This window comes from Homo sapiens, chromosome 15 (genome assembly GCF_000001405.40).
Source record: "Homo sapiens chromosome 15, GRCh38.p14 Primary Assembly".
NCBI classification, from domain to species: Eukaryota; Metazoa; Chordata; class Mammalia; order Primates; family Hominidae; genus Homo; species Homo sapiens.
The window spans coordinates 78,996,315-79,012,466 of NC_000015.10; the positions used below are offsets into that span (position 1 = coordinate 78,996,315).

Here is a 16,152-nt window from a genome sequence, read left to right on the forward strand (position 1 = left end):
TCAGGCCAAAGTGCCGCACGCTCACAGTGATGGGCTCAGAGCCACAGCTGGTGAGTACCAACGGAGGCTGCGGACACTGGAGAGCCAGGCCTGGGCTGCGTGGGGACAGCCAGGGGTCTGCAGGCCTGCCGGGGCTGCGGGGAGTGGCTCTCTGGATCAGCCTGGCAGAAGGCATTGTCGTGTATATCTTACAGCTGAGGAAACGGCCCCTCAGGGAACTGCCTCACCTGGGGTCCCGCAGCTGGAGCATGGTGGGCCCACGCTCCAAACCAGGGCTGCCAACTCCAGAGCCTGCTCTTTCATCACACCCAGGGAACAGGCTCCCCTCCGAGGGTGGCTTTGATCAATATGCTCGGTGGGGGGCTCCACACACTCCTAAGGCCTCCTGGGAGGACCACGAGTGGCGGCTGTGTGTGTGTGTGCGTGTGTGTGTGTGTGGGCATGTGTGCACACACTCTGGCCTCTGTACTGAAGATGTGGAGGCCTGAAAGAGATTTTAGGACTGTGAGCCTGAGGGAAGAATGGGCCCCAGCATGGGGCCTCCACGGCCTGGCTGGGGAGGATGTCTGGGCACTCTGGTCACAGGCAGGACTTGGGGGAAAGTCTGGGGAGGCTGGGGCCAGGCAAGAGGTGAGGAGGAAAGGCCAGGGCCCAAGCCCTCACACCTGGGCTGGGCTGGGAGCAGACAGGCTGAGTCGGTAGGTGCCCGCCACCCACTGAACAGCCTGTAAAAGTGACACCCGTGATCTCATCCCAGCCTTGAAGCGGGTATTGTTCACCCATTTTATGGATGAGGCTCAGAGCGGGGACTTGCCCAGGTCACATGAGTCACTGGCTGAGCATCTCAGACATCGGGCTGCCTGACCCTGACCTCCACCAGGAGAGGACAAGCATGGGTTTGGGGATAAACAACTTAACTGAATTCAATTCAACAGACACTCAAGCACCTACAAATCAGGCCTCGCCAGCACTGTTTAATAGATCTCTGCAGTGATGGCAGCATCCTACACCCTGTACTGTCCAATGCAGGGACTGCTAGCCACATGTCGGGGGTGAAGCTGAGGCTGCTGGGCTCATGTCACTGAGGAACTGAACTTTAAATTTTATTTAATTTTCATTAAGATTTAAATAGCCAAGGCCGGGCATAGTGGCTCATGCCTGTAATCCCAGCACTTTGGGAGGCCGAGGTGGGCAGATCGCCTGAGGTCAGGAGACTGAGACCAGCCTGGCCAACATGGTGAAACCCCGTCTCTACTAAAAATACAAAAAAAATTAGCTGGGCGTGGTGGCAGGTGCCTATAATCCCAGCTACTGGGGAGGCTGAGGCAGGAGAATCTCTTGAACCTGGGAGGTGGAGGTTACAGTGAGCCAAGATCACATCACTGCATTCTAGCCTGGGTGACAAGAGCGAGACTTCGCCTCAAAAAAAAAAAAAAAAAAGATTTAAATAGCCTTATGTAGCTAGTGCCTACCATATTGGATGGCACAGGCTAGACAGGGGTTAGCAGCTGTGGACACACATGGAGAAGTGTGCTGGGTTCTTGCTTTGAAGAGATCAAGGTCTGGCGCAGGGTGGGGAGAGAGGAAAGAAGGACAAATAGACTACCCAGCCCTGAGCCTGCCCCCAAGAGCTCACCTCTACCCCAGCACTCCTACTTGGGGCTGTCCTTGACAAGGGCGCTCTTCACCTCCCGGGCCTCTGACCAGCCCACATGGAGGCAGAAGGCAGGGCTCCTGTCCCAGCAGGCAGTTCTGAGCCAGGAACCAGGTACTGCCTTTACCTGATGATGTTGGCTGCAGCCTTCCGCTCCTGGGTCAGGAGCTCCGGGTCGTGCATGACTTCTTCCAGGAAGCCGATCACCTTGCATTTGAGCTCATCGTTGGTCTCAAAGTCCTGCCGGGAAGGTGTGATGGGTGGCTCTGGTTACTGTTTTTGAGCTGCTCTGCAGTGGTCTGGGCCCAGGCCAGAGGAAGGAGCTCCAGTTTCTATTCTGCCCAGGGCAGGCTGACCTGCCTCATTTCCTTTCTGTTGGCTTCCTGGCAGGGCATGAGAGGCTCTCCAGGCCTAGAGAATCTTAGATAAAGGCACTGGAACCAGATCAAAGCCCATCTTTCAGCTGGCTGCACCCCTGGGCCAGGGAGGCACAAACCTACCTGTACCCCTGCTACAGGCAGGGTGGATAGACAGAGACCCATTGTCCCTTCCATGTCCTTTGTTCCCTCCTAGGGAATCTGAGCAGTCCTCCGGGAACATCAGGGTGGCACATTTGAGCTCCCTCCCTTCTGCTGCCCCACTGCCAGCCATCAGCTCACTCTGCCCGCAGCTGCTTTTGGAAGGCAGCTGGTTCCTGGGGCCATTGCCTGGTGGTCCCCAGCAGCCTGCCCAGGGAGGGCTCCCACCCACCTGAGAGTGCTTGGACACCCAGTGGCGGAGCACGTTCAAGACACGATTGGTGGCTGCTCTGCGGATCACAAACTCCTTGTCTCCATTCCTCTGGTCTGGGGGAAACCCTGGCAGCATGCGTGGCAGAGGGGAGAGAGGACAGGTGAGGACAAGAAACAGAGCTTGACACTAGTCTGGATTTGCCTCTCGGATCTGGCTGAGCTGGGGTGAGTGAGGGGGTCATGGGCAGGGGGATAACAACATGTTTAACAACTAGTGTCTGACCAATAGCACAGATGTCATGGCTCCTCAGTCAACACGGTCCATGCATGCCCAGCCTCTTCCAGACCTCTCCATCTTTCAAGAGCTGCTGGAAGGTTCAGGCAGCCTCCCAAGACAGAGCCACGCAGGGCCTCCCCAGGGAACAGAGCTCAAAGGGGCCCCTATTCCAGTCTCTGCTGCAGGATCAAGGATGCAGAAGTGGGAGGTGGGAGCATGGCGGGACAGAGGTTCCCATGGGCAATGGGCTTTATGTCGAGTAGAAGCTGGCCAAGTAGCAAAGGGCGATGGGTGGGAAGGAAGGGGCCTCCAGGCAGGAGGGTCAGCACTAGCAAAGGCCTGCAGGATGGAAGTTTGGGGGAAGGATGGATGGCATTCAGCTGGCAGCTGGAAGAGGAGGGTGCAGGGCACGCTGTGCCCTAGATGTGCAGTGGCCCTGGCTCTAGGTGTGGGGTTCAGGCCCTGGGTGTGTGCAGAGCCCCAACCAGTGCAGAGAGGTGGGGGTTGTGACCCAGCACCTCCACAAGTGGAAGGCGGTGCCCAAGCCAAAATAATGATTCAGGAAGCTTCGTGTCCAGTGAGTGACTGTAGTCAATTGAAGCAGGGAGCTCCCCGAGGGTGGGTGCTTTAACAGGACCCACCTGTGCCATCCTTAGCACACCTTAAACACCCACAGCAGAGCAAGTCCCCGGGACCATGGCTGCTATCACCTGCCACTGGGGCTGACCATGGGGAGGACCCTGTGAGTGGAGAACACCCCACATACCTGCACTGGCTAAGGACATCCTCCGGTACTTCTCCTTGTTTGGGGTGCCCTCGTTGGCCCCGGCGGTTGCTATGGCAAAGGCAGAGGCGGCCGACAAGGCACTGCGGTTATTGTCCAGTTCACGACAGGAGGTCATGACGACTCCATTGTTATAGGAAAAGAGTGGGAACTCTGCAGAGAGGAGGGAACCAACCCTCAGCTGTCCCCAGTCCCAACTCCTCAGGCTGTTAGAAAACCAGGGGTCCCGAGGCTAGAGCAGCCTTAAGAGCCAGCAGGCTGTGTCTTCAGGGTACCAGGGCATGTCGGGTGGTGCTGGTGTGTGTGTGTGTCTCTCTCTGTGTTAGAAGCTCTGGGGAGAGTCACACCACAACACCCTCAGGGCTGTCCCAGGTTGGGGAGCACACTCCTGCTTCTGAAAAAGGTCTCCAGTCACCCCGTCCATCTTTCTGCAGCTCTCAACCCCTTCACCTCTCAGGTCCAGCAGGGCACAGGCCTGCCTGAGGGCAGCATCATGAGTTTTCTTACCCTCTCAGTCTACTTGGGATTAACACATAACCTGTCCAATGTCTGACATCCATAACAATTCATACTGATGGGCTCGTGGGCACAGTGGGATGGAGAGAGGATGGCTCTTGGAGTCCAGCCACCTGAGTTGAAATTCTCCCCTACCCCCTACTAGCTGTGTGACCTTGGGTAAGTCATTTAACCCCTCTGGGTTTCAGTAGTCTCCTTTGAATAATAGGGATAAAGCTTCAAAAGGTGGATATAAAGATTAAAGGCAATAACATAGATGAAAGTACTTTGTGTTAGGTGAAAAGCTATATAAATGCCATGGAATATCATTGCTATTAGTAATAATAATAATAATCATAATTTTTAGTAGTAATGATAGGAGAAACCTACTCTTGAAACCTTTGGTTTCATCTTGTCTCTGGAAAGCAATCCAGACTACTGAAGACAAAATAGCAGTATTTAATGCTGTGAGGCACATATGATTTATTTTAAGGACTCAAAGCTTATTTCTGAAATTTGGCTCTCCATGAGCTCTGTTTCTGTGTGTCTGAGCAGCTGTGGCAGGGCTGCAGTATGTCCAGGCAGTTTCTCTCTAAAGCTCGGTGACCCTGTTACCTATTGGGTTCCTTTTGAAAGCCTGGATAGTGGGGAGTTCAGGCTGCAGGCGGCCCTTTGCATGTGAGAGCAGGGACATTGGAGAAAGCTGTGTGGGGAGGGGCTGCCTGGGAGGTGGGTCCCCTGGGAGCTCTCTCTCACCATTGGGTATCTCACAGCCCCCTTGTATAGGGGAAAGGGCTTTATGAAAACCGGAGACCAAGACTGCTTCTCAAGGATCCTTCAGGATCAGGAGTCTGGGACTGCGGGTGAGCAATGTCACCGCCTCTTGGAGTCTTTCCCCTTATTTGAAACACCTAGCCTTTTTGCAAAGCTGTCAAGATGATGAAAGGGGTCTGTGCAGAGCCTGGCACTCAGTTCAGGAAGCACCTTCTGAACCAGGATCTTCCATGAATGAGCCCTAGATGCTGAGCCTCCCTGCCCACCTGTGCTGGGGTTCAGGAAGCACCTTCTGAATCAGGATCTTCCACGAATGAGCCCTAGATGCTGAGCCTCCCTGCCCACCTGTGCTGGGTGGGCTCAAGGCAGTCTTGTCTGAAGTTGGGAGAGTGACTTGGTTGAGTTGAAGAGCAGGATCTACCCAGCCAATGTTCCAGTGCCCACAGCCCCTTCCCTTGGGGTGGCGGGGGGCGGGTGGTGGTGGGTGGGTTATGAAATATCAGAAAAGTTACTGCTCTTAGGAGTCACTCATAAAGCATAAGGGATGACACCCACTTGCCTTGACTCGACTTGACCTACTGCCCTCTCCCAAACTGGAAATCTATTTGTGGTTTTGAATTGGTGCATTGTACCTGAAGAATTTTTGTTTTTGACTGATTTGGGTGTTGTTGGAGATTTAGTTGGTGATGTTTCAGTATCACCATCATCACTCTGGTTTTGATCAATATCTGACTCCTCTCTCATGGAGACTTCTGAGCCTGGGAGAAAAGAAATAAATAATTTTACTTTTCTTAATTTTAATTTTAAAATTTAAATATTTGATTTTAAAATTTATGTCTATAATTTACTGAGGCAAAACAGAGTAAACTTGGGATACAGCCACTGAAGAAAGTTTAACAGCTTTGTTTCCCGCAGGACTCATCAGAACCTTTCTCTTGCTAATGAGCACTGTCGATCTCCAAGGTGGCTTTTGCTCCACCAGGGCTTCTCAAACCTTACCAGACACACCTGGGGATCTTGTCAGAATGCAAATTCTGATTCAGGGGTCTCAGGCAGGGCCTGAGAGTCTGCATTTCTAACAGGTTCCAGGTGATGGCCATGTGGTTGGTCCACGGACCACACTTTGAGTTACACGATCTCTCTTTTTTTTTTTGGTGAAGCTTATTAGTTAAGGTGACCATCTGCTCCAGTTTTCCTCTGCTTTTAACCTATTGCCGCGTGCCCCTGGTCACTCTTAAAATGTCCTGTCTTGGATAATTAATTATAGAGGCTTCCTAATCTTGGGAGACTCCTGGTCCACACACCCTGGGGAGGCTGATGAATTATATTAAAAGCCTAGGTCTGGCACAGTGAGGTCTTGGTCAGAAACTCTTAACTGCTCTGGGCCTCAGTTTACCCACGTAGAAAGTGGATGTAGTTGCATCTGACCTTGAGAACACAAAGCCACAGGTCTTCTCTTTAGACAAGAATGTCCACAGGCACATGCACACGCACACACATTTATACATAACAAATACACATACACACACATATACACACACACACAGTTTGGCACATAATTAGATTCATGGGCTCCTGGATCACCAGTCAAGAAGCCTGGTACCAGATGACTTCTCAGGACTGCCTTGCGTTACATTTCAGAATGTGAAATTATGAAATTTCTGGCAGGCCATTTCCTTGGTGACTGACTTTCAGCTGCATGCATCACCCATTAACTGCATGTGCCACGGTGAGTGTTACTTGGTATGGAGCCTGGCGGAGGATTTATCTTGCCCCAGCTGTGCCCTCTGCTGGGGGTGCCCTCTGCCTTCCCTCTTGCCAGCTCAGAGGAGAGAAATCCTTCCCTCTTCAAAGGCCTCCTCCTCAAAGCCTGGGGCGTCTGACCAGCCCCTGGTTGCACGTGGGTGCGTGCGTGTGTGCACGTGCTCTCATGTGCTAACCGAGACAATGCTTGTGGCACCCAAGATGTGGCCTGTTCGGATCTAAATCAGAACCAGACCTGACACTTTTAGAACAGTCAGGAGAAACCCTGAGAGTAGGGAGGCTCCAGCCTGTCCTGGAATCATCTCCAGCCTGTCTCACACTCAGCATTCCAGGTCTGCCTGGCGTCCAGCTGTCCCCGAAACACACAAGGCCTTTTCTTGCTCCTCAGTCATTCCCATCCTGTTCCCATGGTCTAGAATGTTCTCCTTTCCTCTTGGTAAAAATTGAGATCGAACAGTTCTTCCGGGAAGCCTTCTATGACGCTCCTAATGGTGTTCCCACCCCAACCTCTGTGCCCCTGGAGCATCCTCCTGACACAAGCCATTCGTATCAGGTGTCCACATTTCAGTGTCTGGTCTGGGTCCTCAGCCAGACTGAATCCCAGGGGGCAGGAGCTGCTGACGACCTCTTCTCTCCCGGGCCCTGAATGGGCCTGGCCCAGGCCCTGTCCTCTGCAGACATGGACAAACACAGGGATGCCGTAGGATGCTGTGGTCAGGGCAGAGGGATGCCTAAATTGCTCGTGATGGGAACTGACTCATCTAAAGTGTGGCGATGCCCTGGGAATTTCTGCCTGCCTCCCCCCGCAGCCTGGGCTCCCACATACGGCTACCTCTCTGCACCGCCCAGACTCTGTGCTGCCTCCACTATCTGCCTGGTGGGACCCCCAAGCCTCTCCCTTCCTTCCCCATGGGAGCAGGAAGAGCAGCCCTGAGGCCTTGCTGGGCCAGGCTGAGCCTCAGTGGGGCTGGGAGGCTGGGGGGCAGCTCCGACGGCATGGCCACTCACTCTGCTTGCTGAGCGCTGAAGGGTCTTCGGGCTTCTCAGGGGTCGTATCGCCCTCATCTGGAATCTTGTTGGTGAAGCTGCTGGACACATAGAGCTTGCTGGTGTCCAGCGTGGCCTTGCTGAAGGGTGACATGGCCGAGTACATGCTGGTGTAGCCATTGGAGTTGCAGCTGAGGGCGGCCAGGTCCAGGGCCTTGCCGCCAGTGATGATGGGGATGTTCAGGGAGAGCTTCCGCCGGCGGCTCGGTGACGATGTCTTGGTGATGGACAGAGGTGGCGGCGAGGAGAACTTGCGGGTGGCGCGCGGGGACTTGGGGGGTTCACCGTACAGGAGCTTATTGTTCTGGCCACTGGCAAACAGGAGCTCCAGCGACCTGTGGGGAGGGCGGGGGTGAAAATGACAGTTAGCGTAGGCCTGCCTGCCCGCCTAGGCCTGGGGGCCGTCTCCGGTGGGGCTCGGAGTGGCAGCAACGGCTCCATCATTCTTAGGATCCCTGAAACCCATACTTGAGCTGATCCTCTGAGCAGGGACAATGCGATTAAATGGCCTGGGGCCAAGGGTCCTGCTCTGGATGGTTTGGGCAGAGGATCTGGGGCTTCTATGCTCCGCCCCCCCACCCCCTCAGGGCAGCAGCTGCAGCATCTGACCTGAAGTGCTAAGGGTCCCCTGAGCTGCGGACTGTGCAAAACCCCCCTCCATCCCACACAGGGCCTGCTCCCGCCTACACTCTCTGGCCTCATCCTTAGAGAGGTCCTCAGGCATGTTTTGTGGAATGAGGAAGCTGAGGCTCAGAGACAGGAAATGACTCATCTGATGCCTCCTACTCTAAACGCAGGGTCCTTTCCACCTGCTTTGGGGCTTGAGCGGCCCTATATGCAAACTTAGGGGGATGGGAAGCTGAAAGTGGCCCCTACCATCCTCATGACAGGGTTCCACCTCAGGCCAGGCTGGAAACAGGTTATACATCCAGAACATTGCAAACCATAGCTTGTCTCATCGAGGCTGTCTGCTCCACGTTGCACACAGGATAGGATTGATCTTTTAACCCTCACTGTTGCCCCAGGACGTAGGCACTCTTATTCCTACAGGATAACTGCAGGAATGTCACAGGTAGGAAACTGAGTCTCAGAAAGGTTAAGGGACTCAGCCAAGGCCATAGGGCTGAGAGCTGGCTCTGAACCAGCCTCTTTGTTCTGCAGGGCACTGCTGCTGGGAAAGGAAGGACACTGTCTGCTGGGCCCCTGGGAATGATCTCAGTGACTTTTAGGGGGTAAATCCATCCTGGATGGGATGTTTGCTTCTGTTTTCTCAGAGCCCTGGGAATCTGATCATTGAGGTTTCAGAAGTTCAGGGCAGAGAGGCAAGATGTACCCTGCCCCAGTGAGGCCTGAGGTGGGGGCAGGAGGAGGGAACAGAAGAGGGAACGGGTGTATTCTGGGTCGTTGCGTTGCTCTGGCAGCAGAGGTGTGGATTGGGGGAGGAATGGTGAGGTTCCTGGGGAGCCCTGGGGAGCCAGTGTGATTCAGGAGCTCTGCTCCAGGCAGCCCTAGAGCTGAGGCTCTGGCATAATGTCTTGCCTAGGGTGTTTTGGGGCAGGGCACTCAGAGAGCCTCTGAGCCTCTGAGGGCTGGGATGGGCTGTCCACAACTGGGATCTGGGTAGGTGGCCTCTCGGAAAAGATAATCACCTACCATTCCTGGATGCAGTGAAGTCCATTAGGGGCCTGAGCCAATCCCTGAACTTGGCCTACTGCTGGACAGCCTTGGCCAAGTCCTTCATTGCCCCATGACTTTTGAGAAGCAAAGGCTAAGGTGGCCTGCACTCCTTATGTTGACTCACCCCAAGTAGGCCAAAAAGGGCTCCATCATTTCTTAGAGTAGGAGGTGGTCTAAGCAAAGCAGGGGTAAGAGTCCTTTCTCCCTCCCTCCCTCCCTCCCTCCCTCCCTTCCTTCCTTCCTCTCTCCCTTTATTTTTCTTTCTCCCTCTCCCTCTCTCCTTCTGTCCTCCTTCCCCTCCTCATTTCCTTTCTCTTTTTTCACCAAAGGAAGCACTGTCCTTTGGTGACGGTGGGACCCTGTGCTTCCAGGAGCGGGGCTAAGAGGTGAGAGCACCCTCCACACCCCAGGATCCTGGCAGGTGGAGATGGAAGCAGCTGAGACTGAGCAGTAGCACCAGGCAGGTGAGCTGTCCCTGCCTCTCTGCAGAGGGAGGCTTGGTTCCTGGGGAGAGGGGGCAGTGGCGGTGTGTGTCCCGCAGCACCCCAACACGTTACTGCTGCTCCTCCAGGGACCTTCCAGGTCACCCCCCGGCCCCGTGCAAGCTCAGTTTTCCTCCAAGGCTTGGAAGCTCTCCGGGCATGGGAGGAGGAGGGCACCTCAGCCACCTGGCAGGAATGGCACTGATAGGCTTCTTGTAGATGGTAATGAGCTTGTCCAGGACCACGATGGCGGTGGTGAAGACGCGGTAGGAGTGCAGGAAGGTGTTGAGGAAGTCGATGCTCAGGAAGCGCAGGTCCGTCAGCCTCTCCAGCAGCCGCTCCACACTGGCGTAGCGGATCTGCAGCACTTTGCAGGAGTTCATGGTTTTGCTGAAGCGAATGTCAACATCATCACAATATAAGGAGGCGTCGGACCTGAGAGGGGAGGAAGGATGCAGAGGTGATGTGGGTCTAAAGGCATCTGAATGGCACCCACCAGGCCTGCTCATCACTGCTTCCCCCACACACTGACAACACAGGATGGTCTTATTAAGAGAACAAGCTTGGGAAGGATGACACTGAAGGAGGGCTACAACTTCTTTTTCCCAATATCCTAAAAACTCTCCATTATAAAACCCCTAGAAATACTGGAGAAGTATTACAAATTTAAAAACATTTGTTGTTGAGTTCACAAGACGTAAGGAACTCTGTTTACACAAATGTGTATGTGGATGGGGTGCAGTGGCTCACGCCTGTAATCCCAGCACTTTGGGAGGCTGAGGTGGGAGGATCACTTGAGGTCAGGAGCTCAAGACCAGCCTGGGCAACATGGCGAAACCCTGTCTCTCTTAAAAATACAAAAGTTAGCTAGGTGTGGTGGCCCATACCTGTAATACCAGTTACTAGGGAGGCTGAGGCACAAGAATCGCTTGAACCCTGGAGATGGAGGTTGCAGTGAGCCGAGACTGTGACACTGCCCTCCAGCCTGGGTGACACAGCGAGACTCTGCCTCAAAAAAAAATATGTGTACATGAATGTTCTTAGCAGCATTATTTGTAATAGCCCCAAAGTGGAAACTACCCAGGTGTCCATCAGCTGATACATGGAAAAACAAAATGTGGTCTATTTGATCTGCTAGCAGCTGTCAAGATGTAAGGACAGGTGTCCAGTGCAGTTAGCCAGAACAAAGGGGCTAAGATGGGGTGAACTTGCAGGGGTCTTGTTTCAGCTGCTTGTGAACTTGAGGTCAGCAGCCTCTACAGGGCATAGTGGGAACCAGTGGCCCTGAAGGCTGCTGTACCACACAGCGCCCTCTGGTGCTTACGCCACTGGAATCGTCTTTTATTGGTCATCCAATGGGAGCTATTAGGACTCTTGGGCAACTCTGGGTTTTCATTTTTTGGATGTTGTGAGTCTTTGTAATCATGTTTTACTTTTTGTTTTGACTACCAAGAATCTTAGAATCAAATATAGTGCTCATTTCTTTTTATTTACTTCTTTATTTTTTGTTTGTCCTTATTACTTACATGCTGATGGCCGTATCTAGTTTTTTTTTTTTTTTTTTTTAATGAGATAAGGTCTCATTTGCTCAGGCTGGAGTACAGTGCGGTGGTGTGATCATGGCTCACTGCAGCCTTGCTCTCCTGGGCTCAAGTGATCCTCCTGCCTTACCCTCCCCAGTAGCTGGGATTACAGGTACATGCCACTATGCCTCGCTAATTTTTGTATTTTTTGGTAGAGACACGGTTTCACCATGTTGCCCAGGCTGGTCTCGAATTCCAGGGCTCAAGCAATCCTCCTGCCTTGGCCTCCCAAAGTGCTGGGATGACAGGTGTGAGCCACTGTGCCCAGACTATCTAGTTTTTCTTTTTTTTTTTTTCTGTTTTTTGAGATGGAGTCTTGCTCTGTCACCCAAGCTGGAGTGCCTCTGCCTCCACGATTCAAGTGATTCTCCTGCCTCAGCCTCCCGAGTAGCTGGGATTACAGGCATGCGCCACCACGCCCAGCTAATTTTTGTATTCTTAGTAGAGATGGGGTTTCACCATGTTGGCCAGGCTGGTCTCAAACTCTTGACCTCTTGATCCACCTGCCTTGGCCTCCCAGAGTGCTGGGATTACAGGCGTGAGCCACCGCACCTGGCTCACCTGTTCTTTCGAGGGTATCTTCTACCTAGGAGTGCAGATAGTGCTCAGAGGAAGTGAGCAAATGGACATAGCATCCCTTTCACACTGTCTTTCTTAAATACTTTTCTTTGGAAGCATTCTTGGGATTTGAAATAAATAAACTTTATCGAGTGCCTTCAATGAGCAGGGCAGTGGGATTTCTTTTTAGGATGAGAACAATATGGGAAAAGCACAGGGCCCGTAAAGATACTGCAGTTCAAAAAGAGAGCATTCCAAAGAAACCGAGGAAATGCTGCCTTCTAAGTTAGCTTTGCTGCAAGACACAAAACATTTTAGAAAACTCCTGATTTGGTTTCCACCAAGATTCAGGAAAGTATACACTGCATCTATGGGACCTTGAGAAGCAACCATGAAGAGGGAGTAATCCAAGGTCAGAAGGATTTCCTGGACATGAAAAACAAGAGTGCTAAATTGAAGGCTGGGACGGATGCAGCAAATGGCAGATCGGACACTCAGAAAATCTGAGTGGTCTATTAAACACATTTGAGAAAGTCCCCTAGAACTCAGAGAAGGACAAAGAGGTTGAAATGACAGAAAATGGAAGCAACACAGAGTGGACAGAGAGGGGACCTCTCACTACCGTGAGACAAAGTAGCAAACGAGAGAAGCCACGCCTGCTCATTTCTGCTTGCTGGCATGACTCCACAAGGCCCCTGACTCCGTGACGATGTGCAGCGCTCCGGAAAGATGCTTTGAGGACAAAGCAGGCCAGAGCACATGGCCTCCCAGGTCTCTTGCCTGAGTCTCTATTCTCCCTACAAGATAAATGACCCTCGTCTTTGCCTTTCCCAAACATAATATGACGTCTGATAAGGTTAGTGATGACACCTCTGTCATCTCTAACCAGACGCACTCTCAGGCCCAAACCTTGATGTGATTCTGCTTCAGTGTCACTTCTCAGCAAGTCTGATGTGATTCTGCAGGTGCTGAGCCCCCCACCTGCATTTAAGCAGTGGGCTGAAACACTGTGCTGATATCTGATAGGACCTCACAGAAGGGTGGCTCCCGGGCTGCTGGCCTCCGTCTACAGTCCTCAGGAAGGCTTCTGAAGAAAACAAACCTGAATTCTTTAAAAGTTGATCATTTTTCCTTTAGTCAACACTAAAAGTCTCAAAAGGAAGGTGAGAAACTGTGAAGAAGCAATAATAAAAGAAATACTGGGCTGGAGGAAGTGCCTGGGACAGCAACATCGAGTAAGGGCTACGTCCAGCCCTGGAGGCTGAAGGGGCTCAGTAACTGTCTCTCAAATGAAGCCAAGTCATTCCCACTGGGCTGCATGTTTCAGAGGGAGAGTACAGCTACTCCCATGTCACGGATCCCAAAGCATCCAGCCCAGACCTGGCATCCAAATAGGGATCATCTGACCCCTCTGGCAAGGGTTTGCTTCTAGCACCTTCTCTGTGGGCTCCTGCCACCGGAAGGGGAAGAGAAAGTGAAGAAAAGCCCCTGCATTCTCTACTCCTTCCTTTTCCTTTCCTTTTCTGTTTTAAACCTCACAATCACTGTTGGTTCCAGTGCCTCTGGCAATTCCAATATTCTTTTTTTTTTTTCTTTTTAATTGAGATGGACTCCCGCTCTGTTGCCCAGGCTGGAGTGCAGTGGTGCGATCTTGGCTCACTGCAACCTCCGCCTCCCGGGTTCAAGTGATTCTCCTGCCTCAGCCTCCTGAGTAGCTGGGATTACAGGTGCCCACCACCACACCCAGCTAATTTTTTGTGTTTTAGTAGAGACGGGGTTTCACTGTGTTGCCCAGGCTGGTCTGGAACTCCTGACCTTGTGATCTGCCCACCTTGGCCTCCCAAAGTGCTGGGATTACAGGAGTGAGCCACTGCACCCAGCCTCTTTGTTTGTTTTTTTTTTTTTTTCTTTTGAGACAGAGTCTCACCCACTCTGTCGCCCAGTCTGGAGGGCAGTGGCGCAATGTCGGCTCATGGCAACCTCCACCTCGGGCTCAAGCGATTCTCCTGCCTCAGACTCCTGAGTAGCTGGGATTACAGGCATGCACCACAATGACCAGCTAATTTTTTGTATTTTTAGTAGAGATGGGGTTTCACTGTGTTGGCCAGGCTGGCCTCGACCTCCTGACCTCAATTGATCTGCCTGCCTCAGCCTCCCAAAGTGCCGGGATTACAGGCTTGAGTCACTGCACCCGGCAATATTTCCAATATTCTGTAGAACTATCCTGCACTTCAGCTTCCCTGTCTGCAAAATGGGAGAGTGCATTAAAGTAGGCAGACTGGTAGCAGTGGCCCAGAGCTGTGCTTCCAGACTCAACACAAGAGAGTGCTGTGATCCATTAGCAATGTCTGCCAGGGGCTCTGGATGGGAGATGACTGGCTTGAGTGCCAGATACTTGCTATCCCTGCTAGAAAGTGTATTCAGTGCCTTACAATGTGAACATTTTCTCAGTGGAAATTCAGATTTGCTTCTCTCTGATCTTTCAACACTTCTTGATGAATGCTCCAAGTGGTATTCCTATCTCCCAGGCATCAATGACAGGCCTTGCCTGAAGGGTAAAGGACTTTCTCTTTCTTTTTTCCCAGGGAGAGTGCCCCCACCTTGAGTCTACCTGCTCTTGAGGCCACATGTTGGGGCAGGGCCTCAGCCCCAGGAGCCTGGCAGGTGGAAGGAGACTTTTCAGTTTTGGGTTGCTGGTGGCTGACCTGAGACGCTGACCGCTACATCCATCCACAGAGCTGCTGCGGGAAGGCCTGGATGCATCATGTTAGGGGCTGGTGGGAGTACTCGGGACACGTGGGGCGTATACCTTTGTCTTGCAAACCCAAAATCAGGATGCTCTTGACTCAGTCTGAGAGCAGGGAACTGTGCCAGAAACTCAGCACGTTTTGGGAGACATATGGAAGGAATACCCCCCACTTCCCACCTATCACCCCTGCACCTTTCTCCAGCTAGGCTATCCGCTCCCCATTCTCCCCATAAGAGTGGCTGGCAGTGGGGAGCCTGCCACTCCCCTGGGTTTGGCCCTATCACCTACAGAATAAAGCCCCACTCCTTGCCGGTCGCGTTACCGTGATCTGACCCTTGCCCACCGCCAGCCCCATCTTTCACTATGTCATGTGGATCGCTGTATTATTTAAGAAAGTCAAATTGGGCCATAAAAATAAGAGAATTAAATAAGGAAGACAGATGAAGCTAAGTACAGAAGATTTATACTAGACACAGTATACCAAGGAGAGCACCTACATGCTGAACATAGGAAGGGACAGAGGGACCAATGGCACTAAATAGCCAAATATTGATGCTATGCTTAATATTCATGAGGCATATGGAACATTCAATATTTATTAGGTCTTAAGTCAGCCACCCATTGGCAATGGCTATTCTGACCCTCTGTGTCCCCTGCCCAAGAAATGCAGAGAAAGGTGTAGCTGTTCTCCAGGTGAACTGACGGCTACAGCTGTGGCCAGGCACTCGTCCCTATACCAGAGAGAGGGCAATTCTGTGCCATTGGCCCAAGTGCTTTCCATTGCATGGGCTCCTTGGTTCAAACTTCACTCCATCAGCAGTGAAGGCTGATGTGGCAGGGAGAGAGGTGGCACAAAGAAACACTGTGTCAGCAGGATGCAGGCAGTGTGGTCCTCCCATCTGCACACACACTAGCCTAACCAGCTATCTCATCGCCTTTCCCTGGTGTCTTGCTATGTGTTTGTAATTGATACACTATTAGCCAGGTGTGGTGGTGCACGCCTGTAGTCCCAGCTACTTGGGAGGCTGAGGTGGGAGGAACACTTGAGCCCAGGAAGTAGAGGCTGCAGTGAGCCGAGATCACACGACTGCACTCCAGCCTGGGTGACAGAGCGAGACCCTGTCTCAAAGAAAAAAAAAAAAAATTGATACATTAGATGCCGTAATGAAGCATCTTAACTTAGCCTATGAATCTGTTCCAAAGCCTCTAGAATAGTTTGTCTGGTAGTGTACCTGGAGGCCACAATTGCATCAAGGTCATTGCCTGCATGACATCACTCTCCTCGACCCTGCACTCTCCCCAAACACCGTGCACTTTTTTGCCTCCGAACCTATGTTCATGCTGTTCCCTCTTCCCAGAATGCCCTTCCCCCTCAGTCGTCTAGCAAACTCCAACTGGTCCTTCGAGGCCAGCTCTAATGTCCCATTCCATAAGAAACCATCCTCAACTGTGCCAGGTAGATCTATCACTCATCTTCTGGACCTCGCCTGGATTACACAGATTCCATTTTACAGCATGCACTACACTGCTTTCTAATAATCTCTCTATGTCTCTCTCTCTCTCACTAAACGATGAAT

The 16,152-nt window shown here is 52.3% G+C and overlaps 1 protein-coding gene and 1 long non-coding RNA gene across 13 annotated transcripts in view, besides 4 other annotated features; one reads left to right on the forward strand and one right to left on the reverse strand.

The window, feature by feature from the left end:
* Positions 1–16,152, reverse strand: part of RASGRF1 (Ras protein specific guanine nucleotide releasing factor 1) — a 130,875-nt gene that overhangs the window by 36,409 nt on the left and 78,314 nt on the right. For 4 of the 9 annotated variants that reach the window (XM_017022456.3, NM_002891.6, XM_017022457.3 and 1 more), the window contains 6 exons: positions 9,863–10,120; positions 7,488–7,861; positions 5,348–5,473; positions 3,429–3,599; positions 2,405–2,511; positions 1,782–1,894 (listed from right to left, as the gene is read on the reverse strand). In XM_017022456.3, the coding sequence (XP_016877945.1) occupies positions 1,782–1,894; positions 2,405–2,511; positions 3,429–3,599; positions 5,348–5,473; positions 7,488–7,861; positions 9,863–10,120 (1,149 nt within the window). Of the gene's footprint in view, positions 1–1,781; positions 1,895–2,404; positions 2,512–3,428; positions 3,600–5,347; positions 5,474–7,487; positions 7,862–8,213; positions 8,263–8,402; positions 9,352–9,862; positions 10,121–16,152 lie in introns of those variants that run through there. The other 5 variants (NM_001145648.3, XM_017022455.3, XM_017022458.3 and 2 more) reach the window with 3 other exon arrangements.
* Positions 135–908: an enhancer, noted in NCBI's record as "H3K27ac-H3K4me1 hESC enhancer chr15:79288791-79289564 (GRCh37/hg19 assembly coordinates)". NCBI's record gives its function as "activates a minimal SCP1, AML or CMV promoter by ChIP-STARR-seq in primed H9 embryonic stem cells {active_cell/tissue: H9 hESC(primed)}" and the evidence as "EXISTENCE:reporter gene assay evidence [ECO:0000049][PMID:30033119]".
* LOC105370917 (uncharacterized) lies at positions 2,264–16,114 on the forward strand. Of its 4 annotated transcripts, none has more exons than XR_932518.3 (3): positions 2,264–2,610; positions 9,533–9,667; positions 14,412–16,114. It is a non-coding gene; the product is annotated as an uncharacterized LOC105370917 (long non-coding RNA). The 4 variants fall into 4 exon arrangements; XR_932517.4 differs by having other exon boundaries at positions 9,575–9,667; XR_001751624.2 differs by having other exon boundaries at positions 2,264–2,546.
* Positions 7,413–8,612: an enhancer, noted in NCBI's record as "MED14-independent group 3 enhancer chr15:79296069-79297268 (GRCh37/hg19 assembly coordinates)". NCBI's record gives its function as "activates an origin of replication core promoter dependent on BRD2, BRD4, P300/CBP and CDK7 cofactors, and independent of MED14, by STARR-seq in HCT116 cells {active_cell/tissue: HCT116}" and the evidence as "EXISTENCE:reporter gene assay evidence [ECO:0000049][PMID:35650434]".
* Positions 9,541–10,376: an enhancer, noted in NCBI's record as "H3K4me1 hESC enhancer chr15:79298197-79299032 (GRCh37/hg19 assembly coordinates)". NCBI's record gives its function as "activates a minimal SCP1, AML or CMV promoter by ChIP-STARR-seq in naive H9 embryonic stem cells {active_cell/tissue: H9 hESC(naive)}" and the evidence as "EXISTENCE:reporter gene assay evidence [ECO:0000049][PMID:30033119]".
* Positions 10,813–11,107: a silencer, noted in NCBI's record as "tiled region #5581; K562 Repressive DNase matched - State 12:CtcfO". NCBI's record gives its function as "represses a minimal TATA promoter and a strong SV40 promoter by Sharpr-MPRA in K562 cells {active_cell/tissue: K562}" and the evidence as "EXISTENCE:reporter gene assay evidence [ECO:0000049][PMID:27701403]".